The 21,817-nt window shown below is 37.5% G+C and overlaps 1 annotated feature.

Annotated features, from left to right (window-relative positions):
* Positions 16,824-20,844: an enhancer, noted in NCBI's record as "VISTA enhancer hs1374". NCBI's record gives its function as "enhancer in: neural tube[6/8] | hindbrain (rhombencephalon)[7/8]" and the evidence as "EXISTENCE:transgenic organism evidence [ECO:0001131][PMID:17130149]".

Here is a 21,817-nt window from a genome sequence, read left to right as displayed (position 1 = left end):
CTTAATTAGCTCTCTAAGGTCCTTTCCCCAAATACAGTTACATTCTGAAGTACTAGAGTTTAGGACTTCAGTATATCACTTCCTGGGGGAGGAAGGGACAAAACTCAGCCCATAACAAGGTGTATTTATAAGTAACATCTCTTTGTAAATGAACTAGGGCAACAAACAATTAGAAGGCAATATGTTGAATCTTTTTCACTAAATCATATGTCCTTAATTGATCTTGGAAACAGCTCAGTCCATCTGTCCATTGAACATGGAAGAAATACAGTCTTGGCACATGGAAGTGATTTGTTCATATTCACTCTGCTGTGTCACTTCACAGAAGTGCTTAATATGTGTTCCATTTACTGATTGGTTCAACATAATTTATTACATATCTACTAGGTTTTCAACACTGTGAAATGTGCTGTGAAGTCTGTGGCAAGTACTAACAGAAATGGTCCCAATCTTCATGGAGCTTACAGCCTAACAGGGAGTCAAAGTAGTACAAAATAGTCATGCCAAAAATGTAAAACGTAACTGTGATAAGGAATACAAGAGAGGCCGGGCATGGTGGCTCATGCCTGTAATCCCAGCACTTTGGGAGGCTGAGGCAGGTGGATCACCTGAGATCAGGAGTTCGAGAGCAGCCTGGCCAATATAGTGAAACCCCATCTCTACTGAAAATACAAAACATTAGCCAAGTGTGGTGGCAGGTGCCTGTAATCCCAGCTACTCAGGAGGCTGAGGCAGGAGAACCACTTGAACCCTGGAGGCAGAGGTTGCAGTAAGCTATGATTGCACCACTGCACTTCAGCCTGGCCGACAGAAAGATACCCTGTCTCAAAAAAAAAAAAAGAAATTCATAGTTCTATGAGAACCTGCAATAAGATGACTTAGTTGAGTTCATCAGAAAGATTTTCCAACAAAAGTAAACTTGAACTGAGACGGGAATGATGGGCAGGAATTTACCAAATGAGGAAGGGTGAGAATGTTTCGTACAAAGGCTCCATGGTGGGAGGTGTATGAGGAGCTACCTGATCTGTAGCCCTGGTTCCTTCTGTGACCTTTCTCTGCTCTCCCCTTCACCCTTTCAGCATCAAATGCTGTGCCCTCCCTGACATTCTCAGAGTATGCCAGCTTTGCTCCCATCTTAATGCTTTAGTCCCCTCCACCAGATATCTCCTGAGCCAGCTGCTTCACAAGCATCAGGTCCACATTAGCAATGGAGTCTATCCTGACTGTCCCATTTTCCATAATCCTCCAACCTACCCCACTCCATGCTTATCCTGCTCTATTTGTCTATTTGTTTTTCCATAGGACTTGTTACCTTTTCACATAGTTTAGAGTTTATATAGTTAGTGTTTATCGTGTATTCATTAACTGCTTAGTTAGAATGTAAGCTTGGTTGATAGCAGTGATCTTTGTTTTGTTTACTTACATATATCCAGTACCACAGAAAGGTATATAATAGTCACTCAAAAATATTTATTGATTAAATTCACTGATTTATTAATTGCTGAAAAAAAGTTTGTGTCTGCAGCACAAAGTTTGAAGAAGTAGTTAGGGGCCAGATCTTGCAGAGTCTTGTGAGTTTTGTTGCAGAGAGAGACAGAGAGAAAGAGAGTCTGTGCAGCAAATCCATTAAAGAATTGTAAGAAGGGGAAATAACATGAGCAAATTTAAGTTTTGAAAAAGTACTTCTTGTATTAGTCACTGTAATATTCCATCAAAAGATATCAGCTTGGGTTAGGATACTATTGGGCAAGATGGAAAGTCAAGAAGGAGTCCAGAGAAATTTCTGAGTTAAAATGTTGATTACATGAAGAAAGTATGTTATAGCCAGAAATGTATCCTATTTATTTTTCTTTTTTTTTCTAGGTACTCTTTTATTTATTATTTTTAGTTGAATTTTTAATCATTAGGACTCTTTTTTTTAAACAATCAAGATAGCCAATTTTATAAAAATGTACAGCCTACACAGAAATAATTATAACCATTTTCTGTAACTATCATTTCAGAAGAATTACGAATAGTGAGAACAAAGAGAAGTTAAACTGAAAAGCAATCTGATCAATGTGATGACCAAAGCTGAGGTCAGAGTGAGGTGGGGACAATAGCCAAGAAACATGAGCAGCCTCCAGAAGTGGGAAAGGGTAAAGAAATGGAATCTCCTCTAAGACCTCCAGAAGGAACACATCCCTGCTGACCTATTTTTGACTTCTGGCCTCCAGAACTGCACCATAGTAAGCCTGTATTGTTTTTAGTCCCCTCCACTGCAAAAACGTGATCTATTATACTTCAAATTTAACTTGGAAAACAAATATTACAATAGAAGGTGATATATCTGCCCTCTCTACCAAATTCACATATCTAAATCCTTTAAGGATAGTATAAACACAGCAAACTTTTTAGATACAATAGGATACTGAGCACCTTCAAAATACATGAAGTATGATAAATATACAATACTTTGAGTATCATTTTAGAATTAAATATTTATCATATTACATTCTGATCCTGTAAAAACTGATGGTACTATATGATACATCGATCTCTATTACCTAAAATGTAAAATTAACAAGGAACTTGATTTTTTTCACTTATTATTATTGTTATTTAAATTTTTAAAAACTTTTTCTAAATCTTTAGTGGTGATTTCTCAGATTTTGGTGCACCAATCACCTGAGCAGTGTACACTGTACCCAATGTGTAATCTTTTATCCCTTACCCTCCCGACCCTTTTCCCCAAGTCTCCAAAGTCCATTGTATCATTCTTATGCCTTTACATCTTAGCTTAGCTCCCACTTATGAGTGAGAACATATGATGTTTGGTTTCTCATTCCTGAGTTAATTCACTTAGAATAATGGCCTCTGATTCCATATAGGTTGCTGCAAATGCCATTATTTTGTTCCTTTTTATGGCTGAACAGTATTCTATGATATATATACACCACATTTTCTTTATTCACTCATTGATTGATGGGCATTTGGGCTGGTCCCATATTTTTGCAATTGCAAATTGTGCTGCTATAAACATGCATGTGCAAGTATCTTTTTCATATAACGATTTATTTTCCTCTGGGTGGATACCCAGTAGTGGGATTGCTGGATCAAATGGTAGATCTACTTTTAGCTCTTTTTTTTTTTTGCGATGGATTCTTGCTCTGTTGCCCAGGCTGGAGTGCAGTGGCTTGACCTCGGCTCACTGCAACCTCTGCCTCCTGGGTTCAAGCAATTCTCCTGCCTCAGCCTCCCGAGTAGCTGGGACTACAGGCGCAAGCCACCATGCCTGGCCAATGTTTGTATTTTTAGTGGAGACGAGGTTTTGCCATGTTGGCCAGGATGGTCTCGAACTCCTGACCTCAGGTAATCTGCCTGCCTCAGCCTCCCAAAGTGCTGGGATTACAGGCGTTGAGTCACTGCACCTGGCCCTTTTAGTTTTTTAAAGAACCTCCACACTGCTTTCTAGTGGTTGTACTAGTTTACGTTCCCACAAACAGTGTAAAAGTGTTCCCTTTTCACCACATCCACACCAACATCTGTTATTTTTTGATTTTCTGATTATGGCCATTCTTTCGAGAGTAAAGTGGTATCACATTGTGGTTTTGATTTGCATTTCCCTGATAATTGCTGACGTTGAGCATTTTTTCATATGTTTGCTGGCCATTTGCATATCTTCTTTTGAGAATTGTCTATTCATGTCCTTTGCCCACTTTTTTATGGGATCGTTTATTTTTTTCTTGCTGATTTGTTTGAGTTCATTATAGATTCTTGATATTACTCCTTTGCTGGATGTATCAATTGTGAAGATTTTCTCCCACTTTGTGAGATGTCTGTTTACTCTTCTGATTATTTATTTTGCTGTGCAGAGAAGTCTTTTAGTTTAATTATAAGTCTCATCTATTTATCTTTGTTTTTGTTGCATTTGCTTTTGGGTTCTTGGTCATGAAGTCGTTGACTAAGCCAATGTCTAGAAGGGATTTTCCAATGTCATCTTCTAGAATTTTTATGGTTTCAGGTCTTAGATTTAAGTTTTTGATCCACCTTGAGTTGATTTTTGTGTAAGGTGAGAGATGAAGATCCAGTTTTATTCTTCTACGTGTGGCTTGCCAATTATCCCAGCACCACTGGTTGAATAGGGTGTCCTTTCCCCACTTTATGTTTTTGTTTGCTTTGTCAAAGATCAGTTGACTGTAAATATTTGGCTTTATTTCTGGATTTTTTTACTCTGTTCCATTGGTCTATATACCTGATTTTATACCAGTACCATGCTGATTTGGTGACTATGGCCTTATAATATAGTTTGAAGTTGGGTAATGAAATGCCTATAGATTTGTTCTTTTTACTTAGTCTTGCTTTGACTATGTGGGCTCTTTTTTTGGTTCCTTATGAATTTTAGGATTCTTTTTTTAGTTCTATGAAGAATTATGGAGGTATTTTGATGGGAATTGCATTGAATATATAGATTGTTTTTGGCATTATGGTCATTTTCACAATAATGATTCCACCCATTCGTGAATATGACATTTGTTTCCATTTGTTTGTGTCTTTGATGATTTCTTTCAGCAGTGTTTTGTAGTTTTTCTGGTTGAGGTCCTTCACCACCTTGGTTAAGTATATTCTTAAGGTTTTTTTTTTGCAGCTATTGTAAAGGGGGTTGAGTTCTTGATTTGATTCTCAGCTTGGTCATTGTGGGTGCATAGCAGGGCTACTGATTTTTGTACATTAATTTTATATCTTGAAACTTTGCTGAATTCATTTACCAGTTCTAGGAGCTTTTCAGATGAGTCTTTAGGGTTTTCTAAGTATACAATCATGACATCAGCAAACAATGACAGTTCGACTTCCTCTTTACTGATTTGGATGCCCTTTATTTCTTTTTCTTGTCTGAGTGCTCTGGCTAGGTTTTCCAGTACTATGTTGAATAGAAAAGATGAAAGTGGGCATCCTTGTCTTGTTGCAGTTCCCAGTGGGAATACTTTCAATTTATCCCTGTTCAGTATAATGTTGGCTGTGGGTTTTTCATAGATGGCTTTTATTACCTTAAAGTATGTCACTTCTATGCTGATATTGCTGAGGTTTTGTTATTGTTGTTGTTCTTGTTGTTGTTGTTGTTGTTTTTGAGCTGGAGTCTCACTCTGTCACCCAGGCTGGAGCGCAGTGGTGTGATTTTGGCTCACCACAACCTTCGCCTCCCAGGTTCAAGCAATTCTGCCTCGGCCTCCCAAGTAGCTGGCATTACAGGCATGGGCCGCCATGTCTGGCTAATTTTTGTATTTTTAGTAAAGATGGAGTTTTGCTATGTTGGCCAGACTAGTCTCAAACTCTTTACCTCAAGTGATATACCTGCCTCAGCCTCTCAAAGTGCTGGGATTACAGGTGTGAGACATCACGCTCGGCCTTGCTGAGGATTTTAATCATAAAGGGATGCTGGATTTTGTCAAATGATTTTTCTGTGTCTATTGAGATAACCATGTGATTTTTGTTTTTAATTTTGTGTATGTGATGTATCACATTTATAGATGTGTTAAACCATCCCTGCATCCCTGGCATGAAACCCACTTGATCATGGTGGATTATCTTTTTGATATGCTATTGGATTAAGGTAGCTAGTATTTTGTTGAGGATTTTTACATCTACGTTAATCAGGAATGTTAGCCTGTAGTTTACTTTTTTTATTAGGCCCTTTTTGGGTTTTGTATTAGGGTGATACTGGCTTCATAGAATGATTTAGGGAGAATTCCCTCTTTATCTTTTGGAATAGTGTCAATAGGATTGGTACCAATTCTTTTAATGTCAGATAGAATTCAGCTGTGAATCCATCTGGTCCTAGACTTTTTTTTGTTGGTAACTTTTTAATTACCATTTCAATCTCACTGCTTGTAATTGGTCTGTTCAGAGTTACTATTTCTTCCTGGTTTAATCTAGGAGGGTTATCTAGTTCCAGGAATTTATCCATCTCCTCTTGGTTTTTTAGTTTATGTGCATAAAGGTGTGCATAACAGCCTTGAATGATCTTTTGTATTTCTGTGTTATCAGTTGTAATAGCTCCCATTTCATTTGTAATTGAGCTTATTTGGATCTTTTCTCCTGTTTTCTTGGTTAATCTCCCTAATGGCCTATCAATTTTATTTATCTTTTTAAAGAAACAGCTTTTTTGTTTTAATCATCTTTTATATATTTTTTTGTTTCAATTTCACTTAGTTCTTCTCTGATCTTTGTTATTTCTTTTCTTCTGCTGGTTTTGGATTTGGTTTGTTCTTGTTTCTCTAGTTCCTTGAGGTGTGACCTTAGATTGTCTATATATATTCTTTCCGACTTTTTGATTTAGGCATTTAAGGCTATGAACTTTCCTCTTAGCACTGTCTTTGCTGTATCCCAGAGGTTTTTATAGGTTGTATCACTATTATTATTCAGTTCAAAGCATTTTTAATTTTCCATCTTGATTCCATTGTTGATTCCATCATTCAGAAGCAGGTTATTGAATTTCCGTGTATTTGCGTTGTTTTGAGAGCTCATCTTGGAGTTGATTTCCAATTTTATTCCACTGTGGTCTGAGAGAGTACTTGCTATAATTTTGATTTGTTAAATTTGTTGAGACTTGTTTTGTGGCCTATCATATGGTCTATCTTGGAGACTGTTTCATGTGCTGATGAATAGAATGTGTATTCTGCAGTTGTTGGGTAGAATGTTCTGTAAATACCTGTTTATAATATCCATTTGTTCTAGGGTATAATTTATGCCCATTGTTTGTTGAATTTCTGTCTTGATGACTTGCTAGTGCTGTCAGTGGAGTATTGAAGTCCCCCACTATTACTCTGTTGCTGTCTATCTTATTTCTTAGGCCTAGTAGTAATTGTTTTATAAATTTGGGACCTCCAGTGCTAGGTGAATATATATTTAGGATTAAATTTTCCTATTGGACTAGTCCTTTTATCATTATAGAATGTCCCTCTTTGTCTTTTTTAACTGCTGTTGCTTCAAAGTTTGTTTTGTCTGATATAAGAATAGCTATGCCTGCTTGCTTTTGGTGTCCATTTGCATGCAATATCTTTTTCCACCCCTTTACCTTAAGTTTATGTGGGTCCTTATGTGTCAGGTGAGTCTCTTGAAGACAGCAGATACTTGGTTGGTGAATTCTTATCCACTCCGCAATTCTGTATCTTTTAAGAGGGCATTTAGGCCATTGGCATTCAACGTTAGTATTGAGATGTGAGGTACTATTCTATTCGTTGTGCTATTGTTGCCTGAATACCTTGGGGATTTTTTTCATTGTGTTAATGTTTTATAGGTCCTGTGAGATTTATGCTTTAAGGAGATTCTATTTTGGTGTATTTTAAGGATTTGTTTCAAGATTTAGAGATCCTTTTAGCAGTTCTTATAGTGCTGGCTTGGTAGTAGCAAATTCTCTCAGCATTTGTCTGGAAAAGACTGTACCTTTCCTTCATTTATGATGCTTAGTTTCGCTGGATACAAAATTTGGGGCTGATAATTGTTTTGTCTAAGGAGGCTAAAGAGAGGTCGCAATCCCTTCTAGCTTGTAGGGTTTCTGCTGAGAAATCTACTGTTAACCTGATAGGTTTTCCTTTATGGGATACCTGATGCTTTTGCCTCACAGTTCTTAAGATTCTTTCCTTTATCTCGACTTTTGATAACACGATGACTATGTGCCTAGGCAAAGATCTTTTTGCAATGAATTTTCCAGATGTTCTTTGAGCTTCTTGTATTTGGAAGTCTAGATCTCTAGTGAGGCTGAGGAAATTTTCTTTGATTATTTCCTCAAATATGTTTTCCAAACTTTTAGATTTCTCTTTTTCCTTGGGAACACCAATTATTCTTAGGTTTGGTTGTTTAACATAATCCCAAACTTATTGAAGTCATTGTTCATCTCTTTAAAATTCTTTTTTCTTTGTCTTTGTCAGATTGGGTTAATTTGAAAGCCTTGTCTTCAAGCTCTGAAGTTCTTACTTCTACTTGTTCAATTCTGTTGCTGAGACTTCCCAATGATTTTTCCATTCTGTAAGTGTGTCTTTGATTTCCAGAAGTTGTGATTGCTTATTCTTTATGCTATCTATTTCACTGTGGTTTTTCCATTCATACCCTGTATCATTTTTTTTCCTTTCTTTAAGTTGGACTTCACCTCTATCTGGTGCCTCCTTGTTTGGCTTAATAATCGACTTCTGAATTATTTTTCTGGCAATTCAGAGATTTCGTCTTCGTTTGGACCCATTGCTGGGGAACTAGTGTGACCTTTTGGGGGTGTTAAAGAACCTCGTTTTTCTGGTTCCTTCTCATTTGGGTAAACTATGTCAGAAGGAAAATCTGGGACTCAAGGGGCTGCTGTTCAGATTCTTTTGTCCCACAGGGTGGGACCCACCCTTGATATGGTACTCTCCCCTTTCTCCTAGGGATGGAGCTTCCTGATAGTTGAACTGCAGTGATTGTTATTTCTCTTCTGGATCTAGCCACCCAGCAGAACTACCGGGCTCTGGACTGGTACTGGGGAATGTCTGCAAAGAGTCCTGTGATGCAATCCATTTTCAAGTCTCTCAGCTGTAGATACCAGCACCTGCTCTGGTGGAGGTAGCAGGGAGGTGAAGTGGACTCTGTGAAGGTCCTTGGTTGTATTTTTGTTAAGTGCACTGGTTTTGTGTTGGTTGGCCTCCAGCCAGGAGATGGCACTTTCAAGAATGCATCAGCTGCTATAGTATAGGGAGGATCAGGTGATGGGCAGGGCCATAGAGCTCCCAAGAGATTATGTCCTTTGTCTTTGGCTACCAGGGTGAGTAGAGAAAGAGCATTAGGTGGGGGCAAGGTTAGGGATTTCTGAGCTCAGACTCTCCATGGGTAGGGCCTGCTGTGGCTGCTGTGGGGGATGGGGGTGTGGTTCCCAGGCCAATGGAGTTACCTTCCCAGAGGGATTATGCCTGCTCCTGCTGTGTCACACAGGTTGACAGGGAAGTGGGGAAAAGCCAGCAGCCATGGCCTCACCCAGCTCCCTTGCAGCCTACAGCCTGAAAGGCTATTCTCACTCCCACCGTGCACCCCCAATAGCACTTAGTTTATTTCTAGGCAGCCCGTAAGCAGGGCTGAGAACTTGCCCCAGGCTACAAGCCTCCCAGCTGAGAAAGCAAGCAAGAAAGCAAGACTCACAATTCCTAGCTGTCTCACGGAGCCTGCAGCAACAACTCACCTCCTTCAAAGGGGCTGTGGATTCTCTCCACTTCCCTGGTATATTCCTGCAATAGTTCTTGGAGCAAAAGTTCCTGATATGGGTCTCCACATGCTTCTTTGTTGGTCCAAGTGGGAGCTACAATTTAGTCCTGCCTCCTATCTGCCATTTTCCCCCTGTATCATTTCTTGATGTCTAGTCTATTCTCTTTCTATTGCAGAGTGACAGGTAGGGAAAAGACCAAAGACTTTATATTCATTTGGTCCTGACTTTGGACAAGAGACTTAACCCCTGTGACCCTCAGATTGTTTTCTATACAAAGGGAGTAATAATTGCTGCCTGGCAGATTTTCTGTAAATATTAAATTTAAAAATGTATGCCAAGCACCCAATAGTCGACACATAAGGGTTATTCTTAGTAGCATGCATCTCTGAAGAATAACTTCCTTTTTTTTTTTTAAAAAAAAAAAAAAAGCTGTTTTATAGGGTTTGATTTACACTTTGGCTTTTCTTTTAAAATGCCACTTCTTTATGTTCTGATATTCAATTTCTTGTTACTACTGTAAGCAAGAGAGTCTGTTAAAATTGTCAACTTTAACAATTTATGTAATTTATGTTAGACTTTTAGAGTACTGGCTCTCAGTTTGTCCATGCCTTTCTATGCTCACACCCTATGAAGTCTCCTCCTATACTGACTCTAGTCTTGGCCACTTGACTTATTTTGGCCAATGATAACAGTAAGTATGACTAAGTAGAAGATTGAAAAACACTTGTACTGTGTGATTTTCCCTCCTTGCTGCTACTGGGATTTCTGGGACTACTCTTATAAGGAAGTCCAGGCTAGCCTCCTGGAGGATGAGTGACAAATGGAGATGAGTTGGGGTATCTTAGGTGCAATTCCCAAATGTCTCATCCTCAAATACCATCACACTGGAGATTAGGGTTTCACCATATGAATGGGGGGGATGGGACACACATACATTCAGTCGATAGCCTCAGAAAGAAAGATATTTTTAAATTACACATCTAAATACCTACCTTAATAAATATATGTGTGTATTTTATTTTATATATCTTTTTAAAATACATATCAGACACTTCTTGATGCCTAGGATAGAGTAGTAAATTAAACACATAAAAATTCCTACCCTCATTTGACTTATATTCTAATATAAGGAAGTAAAGAATAGAGATAAATAAGTAAAATACATAGTATGGGAGAGAGTGATGGGTGCTAAGGAGGAAACAGATATCAGAGAAGTAGGATATAAAATGATGAAGGGCAGTTGAGAAATTAAATATGTCCACCAGGAAAACTCTCATTGAGAAAGTAGTTTTTGAGAAAAAAACCTGAAGGAAGTGAGCTAGCCATATGAACATATGAGATTCGTGTATACTGGTAGTTACATTTTACATTGCTTTGGGGATCAACTAAAATCATGTTATATGGTTTGGAGAGTGGTCATAGTTAAAATGAAAGTTGGTTAAAACCAGACTGGGAAGAAATTTGAGTATGCCTTAATGGCTGACATTTCACTCATAATAAAAAGCAAGGTATTTACTATTACTTATAAGCTATGCTTTATCTGGTTACATGTAACTCTCTGACTTCATTTCTTTTCTGTTCACTACAGCTCTAATGGTCTTTTTGTTTTTCAAACTTGCCAAGCATGTTCATCTCAGGGCCTTTGTACTTGCTAGTTCTGATACATGGATACTATTCCCAAATATTCATATGGCTAGCTGACTTCCTTCAGGTTTTTTCTCAAAAACTACTTTCTCAATGAAAGTTTTCCTGATTGACTTATTTAGTTTCTCAACTGCCCTTCAACATTTTATATCCTACTTCTCTGATTTGTCTGTTTCCTCCTTAGCACCCATCACTGTCTCACATACTGTGTATTTTACTTATTTATCTTTATTGTTTACCTGATCACTCTAGAATATAAGTCAAATGAGGTAGGAATTTTTTTTTTTTTTTTTTTTTTTTTTTTTTTTTTTTGAGACGGAGTCTCGCTCTGTCGCCCAGGCTGGAGTGCAGTGGCGGGATCTCGGCTCACTGCAAGCTCCGCCTCCCGGGTTCACGCCATTCTCCTGCCTCAGCCTCCCAAGTAGCTGGGACTACAGGCGCCCGCCACTACGCCCGGCTAATTTTTTGTATTTTTAGTAGAGACGGGGTTTCACCGTTTTAGCCGGGATGGTCTCGATCTCCTGACCTCGTGATCCGCCCGCCTCGGCCTCCCAAAGGAATTTTTATGTGTTTTATTTACTTCTTTATCCTAGGCATCAAGAACAGTTATTAATATATAATAAAAGACTACTGATATCTGTCGGATTGCTGAATGAAAGGAAGAAATATGGAGGTGTTTTTCCCTATGTGTTTCAGAGTGTCTGTGAATTAGCTGGACATTTTTTGAAACTTTGATGTAAGTTTTAACATAATTGCAATTTACTGGGAGAGTGTCCATAACTGTCATCAGGTTCAATAAGATTTTTTGGTACAGGAACCAAAAGTACTACAATAATTGATCTAAAGAATTTAAAATACGTTTTGAAGTGGAGAATCGAGAGTCGTTAAAGTTTTTTGAGAAGGGTAGTGGTCAGAGTAGAATGGTACAAAAAGAAAATTAATCAAGAAGAACAATGAATTCAAGTCAGGGAGATTAAAGGCAAAGAGACCAGTCAGAAGGTTATTGTAGTAAGTAAGACAAGCATTAATGAGGTCCCTGAACTGCAAGCATAGTTTTGGAAGTGAAAACAAGCTTTCTTGCTCATTATGTGCAAATATTGTCAGTTCTGCCACTAGGTTACAATGTGATAGCATTGTTGAAATGGAAATCAAGTATCAAATTAAGAAAGTTATCTTCTTATTTTAAACCAAACAAAACCTCAAATGATGGGAGTTTGTGGGCAGAGATAAATTCACTGGATAAAGAGAGAAAGCTGTCACCACAATGTCCAACCCACTTTAACCTTAATCCAAAAGCCAACTTTTCTTCTTGCCTACCAATGCCACCAAGAATACATTTGTTTATGAGAAAGATGATGGGGAATTATTGGCTGAGTTCCATTAGGGATACTGGAATAAGACAAAAAATAGCACATTATTTACTCCTTTCACTCTTTTGATCAGCCATGAATACATCCAAATATTTTCATTTTCAGTTAGAAACTAAAGACCATTTATTATTTTAAAAATGTCTTAATGCAGTATATTCAAAATACTTCACTGATGTATCTCACATAGAGAAGGATAAACATATGAGAACTGACCTCTCACATTAGATTAATTCCAAGTCCTATGTTTTATGTGCATTTTGCATTCTCATCAATAATTTATCTGTGTATTTTTTATGAAAATTATAATTAAAATTATTCATTGGCTAAATACTCAAGAAAAACAAAATTAAGACTATTGATGCTGTCTTTATAAACCTCCAGAATAATGCTAGTCACTCAATTTTAGTGGACAAAAAAGGCCTTAATAAGAACTACTTTCATTTTCTCAATTGTCATAAAAGAGCCACAATAAAGTGAATCAAGGACTACTACAGTTAACATTAAAACTTAAATAATGGAAAGGTAGCTGCTATCATCTGATAAATTGTTAGCACAGCAATGCAACTGAGCAACTGGGAAGTAAATACCCTTCACACTTGAGTTTCTCTGCACACTGCAGTATATTTGATGCCCTCTTACTGCTCTGTTTCCACAGGCTTACCTCAAATATCCCTTCTCTTCCTTGAGCAAGTCCTACATTCCTATTCTGACTCTTGAACTTACTTGTCTGGTGCAATATTTCTTCAATTTCTACAATTTGATATGTAACAGATACAATACATATATCTGGTACTATGTTCATGGATGTTCTTCAAAAGAAAATCTCACCCCTAAACATGTGTATATTCATCCCTAGATCCTTCACATCTGTGGCCTTTCTATTCCACTCTTACCAGCCTTTCTCCATCTCAACCAGCTCTTTGCATCAATCCTGTTTCTCAATCCTCAGCATTTAAACTCATCTTCCGAGTTACTGAAAATCTGATCATACTATTTGCTTGCTTACAATCTATCAGCAGTTTCTCAAAGCTCTAGAATATAGCTTCAATTATATACGCAATCATACCCAGACCCCAGATTCTGTCTTTGCCTGCCACTCTGGATTCTTCTCCCACTACTTCCTCAGGTTGTGCTGTTTCACTCATTCTTCTGAAACACTGTGCTGCTTTCTCCACCTGCTACAGACACTTATTCCTCAAATCTCACGTCCATTGGTTCCCTTCTCTTGCCTAGGCGGGTACATCCTTTTCCATTTTTAGTACCTTGTATACTTCTATTGAAGCATTGTCTCATCAGATAGTATTGGTGGGATAATTTCTTAGTCATCTTTTTATCAGTACCTGGAGATAAGTTCCAGAGATATGAAAATTCCAGGTCACATACATGAGAAAGGAAAGAAAGTAAATCACTTATGTTTTTCAAACTGTGCCACTTACATTTAAGGCAAGCTTAATTGCTGCTGTTCAGCTGCTACATTTGGGAAACCTCAATCTGCCTTTGTCTGACTCACTTTCTGAGTTCTCGCTCCTGTAATGAGGCCATGTGGACATGTAGGAATGAGAAAGAATAGAAGGAAAAGTTATTGAGGAATGAATTGAGGAAACTACGACTTGGCTTTTGTCACTTCCTGCATAATGGCTTCTGGAACTACAGACAGCTGGGCAGAAAAAAGCACTGGCTCTCAAAGGAGATAAACAAATGCAAACCATTTTGATCTTGGCTGTGACTATGCAGGTAAAAAAATAAAGCAACAATAACAAAAAACCCAGCCTCTCTCAACAAAGGAGAGCAATTGCTCCCTTTGTACAAAGGAAATTTCAGCAGCTATGAGAGCCGCCTTCATCCAGCTATTGCTTTTTTGGAATGCAAATATTGGACCATCCCAGGAATTCTTGGCTGTCTGACAACAGAGACATCTAATCTCCTCGTCTACTCAAGCTAACCATCTGGAAATGGAACCTGCTTGCTATGATGAACCACCGTGGGTGCATGACATCCAGACATAGACTGGCACAGTAGCCTTGGCCCCAAATCAGGATCCCCTTACAATATTTTAAAATTGAAAACATATAGTAGGTGCAATTGCTAGAGCTACAGAAAGTCCCCGAAGATTGCTGAAATGGATCCCTAATACCTATGCATTAATACCAGACTGAATTTTGTTTGTTAAAGGGCCCTGTTGCATAAAAAAGATAGGTATTTTAAAATAATAGCATTCAATACAGTAATAAATGTACAAATTATAGATGCTCTTTAATGTTTAAACACATTCCCTGTGTTTTCACATAAAATCTAACTTAAAATGTATTATCCACAATAAATCTCCTACTTTGCATTAACATATTTCATATTACTAGTTATATTTTTATTACTTTTTTTATCTACAGCAAAGTGATATACATGTAGTATGAACAAGACTTCCGTATCTTATTGTAGAAAGTAATGAAGCTATTTCAACAATAGTTCTATTGAATAAAACTGGTTATATTGTCTTCTCCTTCCCATAATCTCAAGAGGATTTGGGGGAACAATGTGAAAAAATAAAGCCTGTACTAGATTCAGTGATTCCCTCTCTCCCTTTCCTTTCCCAGTATTCTACTACTGGTACCATCTGTAAACCATGGTTCGTATAAGACTTGAGAAAAATAAGAAGGACACTAATATAATTCATATATGTAAACATAACTGTATATTATTATATTTTATTTCCACATTTTGCCTACTGTGTATTTTATTGTGCTATTGCCTGTTTATAAGCTTCAAAAATGGGTCCGTATAGTTCTAGATTCTAGAATAGGATTAGCAGGGTATCACCCAACAAAAACTAGCACCAATTAAGAAATCCAAGTATTTAAAAATAATCTAGCTCCACTCTCCTAGAAAGGAAAAGATTCATTCTTGGCTCGGTGTTCAATCTTTTATAGAACTCTGCTTCCTTCTGAGTGTGTTCTATATTTTTTAAAAGCTTGGTACCATATCGCAAAATTCCGTGGTAACTGTATTTTCATCCTATGTCAGTAGCTTAATGTCTACACATGTTATCTGAGCTACAGTTTTCTTGATAAAGAAGAAAGAAAGGAAAAGAAAGGATGAGGAAAGGAAGGAAGAAAGGAAGGAACATGGAGAGGAAGGAAGGAAATCTCAGTCTGAATCTGAAAGAGGCATTTTGCCTTTGTGCTTCAATGCCAAAACCAAACCATCAAGTGTTCTTGACAGGAGGTCTAGGGCTATAATTTGTGGTTTTGTTGGCACCAGCCACGTCAGCAGCAGCAGCCAAGGAGCAGTGGTGATAGTGATGGTAGTAGAAGCGGCAGTGGGAAGTGGTACTGGTAGAACTGATGGGGAAGTTTTATGTGAGTTACTCAGAAATGGAGATCTCAGAATAGGGGACTTACACAATTACATACAACATGCTTTTCTTTTAGGACTCTGCCTAATATGTGGCAAAATCTTTAAAAAAGATAAAAATACTATATTAATAGTTTGCAAAGAAATAGTTTTAATTATTCTTAACATGCCACCATTTTATACCAAGATCAGGATAGCTAGAAGAAATAGATGTTACATATATGAAATAAAATTCCTAAAAAAATTGACTCACGAGGCGGGGCGCAGTGGCTCACACCTGTAATCCCAACACTTTGGGAGGCCAAGGTGGGTGGATCATGAGGTCAGGAGATTAAGGCCATCCTGGCTAACACAGTGAAACCGCGTCTCTACCAAAAATACAAAAAATTAGCCAGGTATGGTGGCACGCCAGCTATTCAGGAGGCTGAGACAGGAGAATGGGTTGGACCTAGAAGGCAGAGGTTGCAGTGAGCCAAGATCACACCATTGCACTCCAGCCTGGGTAAGAGTGCAAGTCTCCATCTCGAAAATAAAGATTAACTTGTGGCCGGGCACAGTGGCTCAAGCCTGTAGTCCCAGCACTTTGGGAGGACGAGGCAGGTGGATCACGAGGTCAGGAGTTCAAGACCAGCCTGGCCAACATAGTGAAACCCTGTCTCTACTAAAAATACAAAAATTAGGCTGGCATGGTGGTGCATGCCTGTAGTCCCAGCTACTTGGGAGGCTGAGACAGGAGAATCACTTGACCCTGGGAGTGGAGGTTGCAGTGAGCCAAGATCACACCACTGCACTGCAGCCTGGGTGACAAAGCGGGACTCTGTCTCGGGGGGGAAAAAAAAAGACTCATAAAAATGAAACTCATAATTCTAAAAGTTATTGCTTGGAAAAATATTTATATGCTGGGAGGCCACAAAGCCCAAAGCCAAGAGAACTAATGTATAATTTTGAGAGCTATTCATTAACAATCAATGTAAGATGTTTGTGAGAGAAAGACTTTTTGAGTACTTCTAAAATCACAGTACAATTTTTCCTCTGCCTTATTCCTTAATAAATATAATAGTCACATGAAGTCTAGCAGAATGCCACTACCTTTCTTGTGGATGGCTTGTTGTAGACATTCTGGGCATGTAATTTTCTTACAGAACATATATTCATTCTTCTCCTTCTTTAAAAGTTTATATGATAGTTGTTAAGTTTATTTAAAATAATTCCTCTTTCTTGAGAAACTTATGGCTAATGATTAAACTCTAAGAAGAAAGGACTGGTAAGAGCAGGTGGAAATATTTTTCCTTTAGTAAAATCATTTCAACTCAGGTAAGTTTTATAGTAACTAAAAGCAATTTCATTTGAACTTTTGAGTGACCTTTATGAGATTAGGTATTGGCAGCTTGAGTCCACCTCCTAGAGGATTTGGCCATATTTCAAAAGCACCAACATAATTGGCACTCCTTCCAATAACCTTTTCAGAGTCACAAGGTGAAGTGGAAACAGAGACCAGCCCAAACATTCAGAACGGTCTTTGTTGGACAAGGTTAAAGACTTTGTTTGCTTGTTTGTTTTTTTTGTTTCGTCTTTGTGTGTGTGTGTGTGTGTGTGTGTGTGTGTGTGTGTGTGTTTCCCACAATGGGGAACTTTACCCATAATTCTGTCAGTACAGAACCTTTCATAAATATAGATCAAAGTCAATCTAAGCATTACATGTATTTCTTATGCTATTTCCAATCATTGCAAAAGATATGAAAAAACAAAAAATGAACACAAAATGCCCATTTATTAAGACTCTTCATTGGTCAAAATATTATAGAATGGTGTAGCTAAGTGATGAATGTGAGAAAAATCAGAGGTGCTTTTTCCTTTTTCTGTACGGATAAATTGTACAAATAACATGAACATCATAAGGCTGACAGTGTATCACTCTGTTCCTCTGTGATTTGGTAATTAGTGGCATATACCATAGTAAATTAATTGGAGGTGTTTGAGAGGTTTTTTTGTTGTTGTTTTTTTAAATCCCAAGCATGGGGAGAGTTGAATTGTTCCTGCTTCTGCCCACTGTGTTTGCCATCTGGACTGCTGCTAACTGCTGGAAGTGTCTGCTTCTTCCCAAAGAAAAATAAAAGATAAATGCTTTTGAATACTACCTCATGCCTGTTTAAACGTCAATTTCTCACTATACACAGTAGCTCCCTCTACCCCTCCCCCTCATTCCCTTCATTTCCTTCCCTCCAACTATCTTGACAGGGAGAAAAAAAGAAGGAAATCTTACATGTACCACATTCCCATTATGATCCCCAGTGTGGTGCCATTAAATAGTACCCTTTCTGAGTGAGTCTAATTGGCCAATATATGGTGCTTTCTATTGATGCTTTGTAGTCACCGCTGAGTTCAATATACTTACATGTATATAATTCATCACGTGAAGGTCACTTTCTTCACCCTTATTGTTCTGCTGTTTAAATTGTTATTCTATGTGAATTTCCATGTAATTAACTGGTTTGGTGGCAATTTCAAGCACTTCAAAAAGACAAAGGGAAAACTGGGAAAAAAAGCCGCATTTGTGAATCGGTTTACATTCGGAGGCATTGCTTGTTGTTCCCCTGGACCACCAGATGTCAGCCTAAATTGAAGAATAGAAAAGAAACCATGTATCATAATGTTAGTGTCTAGTGTGCCAGATGGAGTTTTACACAACCCTGCAGGAAGAGGTAGCCAGGAGTAGTTAAAATTCAGCGTTAGGAATAGTGCAAGTGACACTGCATGCACTGTAGCATTTTTTGATTATGGAACTTAATTGTATCATAGATCACTGATAGTTTAATTTATGAGGATTGAGTTTGTTAAATCAAGCAGTTCAAAAGTCATTGTTAAAGCTTCAGTCCATTTAATTGTATCTGACTTAAGCTTTACTCATGCTATCAGAAGACAAACGGCTGTATAAAGGTAATACATTTTTATTTATTCTGCTGTTTGTCCATTTATTCTGCTGTTTGTCCATTTATTCCTATACGGGTCATTTACTGTGATTTACATTTCAATGAGCAGTATTAGATATATGAAGCAGTTGTTGTTTTTTTTTTGGCTCTCAGCTGAGCTAAAAAAATGCAAATGTTAAATTATGTTAAAATGTCACTTTTGATTTCACAATAGGATTACAACCACCATAAAATGTTAAGGTTTTTCCTCTCAATATTACCATCCTTTTCAAACTGGGAAATTACTTACGTTACTTCTTAGGGCTAAATAGCTGTTTTGGTCTAATCTAACAGAAGTGGTCTGCTATATTTTTCATTAATATATGCAACATTAAACATGTAAGGAAATTCCATTAACACATCCATTAAGAGAAGCAGTCAGAAATACAATTACAGTAATTTTGCTTATCCTTATCTTTTGAATTTAACACTGAGGAATGAGTAATATATTAGATCGAATAATAGAGAAATGAATTTAAAAGATCGTGTTTGTGCATGTATATGTGTGGGTGGGAGAGAGAGAGAGACAGAGAGTATGATTGTGTAGTATGTATATTTTGCCCTGATAGTTTATTTAAGATTCAATCTTGCTCCAGCTGGCTCTCAACTAATGTACCAATGAAACAAGGTTTTTCTTCCTCTGTCTCTTCTCAGCTTCTCCTTGAGTTCTTAACCCTGACATTTATTTGAACACCACCAGCCAGGTTCTTATCTTTCTTTTCACCCCACTGAGCTATGAAAACCAAATTCCCTTTGAAGCCAATGATAATGATAATGATAATAAAACCTCACATTTGCTTATCATTCTCAGAATAAAAGAGCTTAAAATACTCTACAGACATGATCTTATTAACCTGGTAATAAAGCCCTTTTTGACATAGTGCATGCGAATTTCAAAAAGGTTAAAAGACTACTCCGTGGTTGCAGAGTCTATCGATGCACAGAATCAAATCGCACTCCTCATGCTATTCCAACAGTGGCTTTGACATCTTAACTTCATTTTTAAATCAGATAAGCTGGAAAGAGGAACAAAAAAGAAAGCCAACCTTTTATTCAATTTTACTTAATCCTTAATAATACTGTGACTTTATAGAAAATGAAATCTGAAGACTTAGGTTTAATAATATCCTACATCTTAGGTTTGTGTATTTTGAATCGCAAGCATCCGGTTTGTAAGTCTTCCATTTTAAGCAAATATTTTATAACCCAGAGGCTTGTTCACCTCTAGCACATTACAAACAGCATAGCATGCAGATTTTGTATCATTTCAAAAATCATCTTCAAATGATAGAGGTGCTGATATCGTAAAGAAGATAGACTAGTCTTACTTCTTGCCTAACATAATCAGAACATATATTAGGGAAAAAGAAAGAATAGATTTGATTTGATACTTGTAGTTCCAGCAAGAAATTATATTTTAAAAATCAAAGACAATGCTGAAAACAAGCTTACCCAAATTATCCACATCAATAGGTGTGGATATGACATGATGGGCCCTACTTCCATGGATGTGATTAGAAACCAAGTCTGAACATATATTTTCAGGCATATAAATGGAACAATATACCAAAAATAGTGGTATTGTTTTGTTTTTGTCTTTTGTTATTCCTATCCAAAGCAGTACAAGACGTATTTGAGTTTTCCCTTTCTTGCTTGTCTGTGATTCCCAATGTCTGATGTCAAAAAGGAAAAAGAAAAAATTGTTAGAAGAAAAAAAACTTCTGACTCAGTAGAAGCCACAAAATATTAGTAGTGTATGTGAATCATTCTGAGTTCCACCAAGTAATTATCTAGATCACAAATAGCTTTGAGAATTTCCATGAGGACCTGTTTACCCAGGTACTCCACACAACTTTTTTGCAAATGAAAAGCAGGATTATGGGGCCGATATACTTTCTCACTCCATCCAGGACCAGTCTAAATCAATATCACAGATAGAAAAGTGTGATGAGCTTCCTCCATATCAATATTGTATAAAAATCAGTGCTCCTTTTGTTTCAACCCTCTGTTTATTCTTTTAGTCAAGCAAAACATTTCTTAAATAACCTTTATCCTCTTTGATCTCTGCTCACTCACCTTCCCATTACGCATCCTTGCATACATAACCTGCAACTTTCAAACATTTGCTGTTAGACACTACAAGGGGAATCTAGGTGAGTTACTCTGTATGGAGTCCACAGTCCAGCAAAAAAAGCCGACCCAATGTGGTTAGTGCTTTATCAGAGTAATAAAAATGTGCTAGAAAGGCCAAACAAAGGGAACAATCTATTCTTTCCTGGAAGTGAAGTGAAGTTGGTGCTGAGAAAGACCCAGCAATACAGCTTCAAGACACAGTTAAGATGTTTCCATATGAGTAGTCTAAAAAATGTTATTCTAGAGAACAAAGGCACATATATGTAAAAATAGAACGTTTGAAGAATCCTGTGCTTAGAGTGTCTTGGGAGACTGACAGACTACATCTCCAACTTTAACTGTTGTACTTTAGCTCATAAACCTTCTTTGAAAATGCATTCATTTTCTCTAAACCCCTTAAACATTTAGTAAGCATTAGACTCTGAGGGGATACAAACATCTTAAATACTTGAACACTGCAATTTGATGTTTTTTCCATTCTTTATAAACCTCCCAATATTTTATTTTTCCTTCTATGACCAAAAGCAAGTTAGAAGCTTTCATTTTTACTGCCCACTAACATCGCCTAGAGTTTTTTTTAAAATGCCCATATTCAAAGACTTGTGTGTGTGTTTGTGTGAGACAGGGTCTCACTCTGTCACCCAGGCTGGAGTGCTGTGGCACAATAATGGCAGCCTCAACCTCCCGGGCTCAAGTGATCCGCCCACCTCAGCCTCCCAAGTAGCTGGGACTCAGAGACAGAGACCTTTTTGGATTCATTAAAGCAGATATTCGGGCAATTCTCACATGAGAATCTCTGGTGTAGGCTAAGGAGATCTGGTCTTCTGTGTTGTGTGTAACCATGGCCACCAGAATAATTAGTAGGACACACCCCTATACTAACTCATATTCATTAGTCTGGAAAAGATTAACCTCAAACAGTTTCTAAAAGTTCAAACTACTTCTTTTCCTGAGTAACTGATTCTTGAAATACCTTTCATTGAATCCGCATGGAATTCAAGATAAAGTTAAAATTCTTAACAGAGCATATAAGACCCTTCATTAGTGTCATACTATTGCATATTCGAACTCATCAGCTGCTGTGGGATAACAGACTATGCCACACCAAAAAATGAAAGACTATTGAACTGAAGGCAATTAAAAGTAGGTGC

This window comes from Homo sapiens, chromosome 4 (genome assembly GCF_000001405.40).
Source record: "Homo sapiens chromosome 4, GRCh38.p14 Primary Assembly".
Lineage (NCBI taxonomy): Eukaryota > Metazoa > Chordata > Mammalia > Primates > Hominidae > Homo > Homo sapiens.
This window is presented reverse-complemented; position numbering and strand designations above follow the sequence as displayed.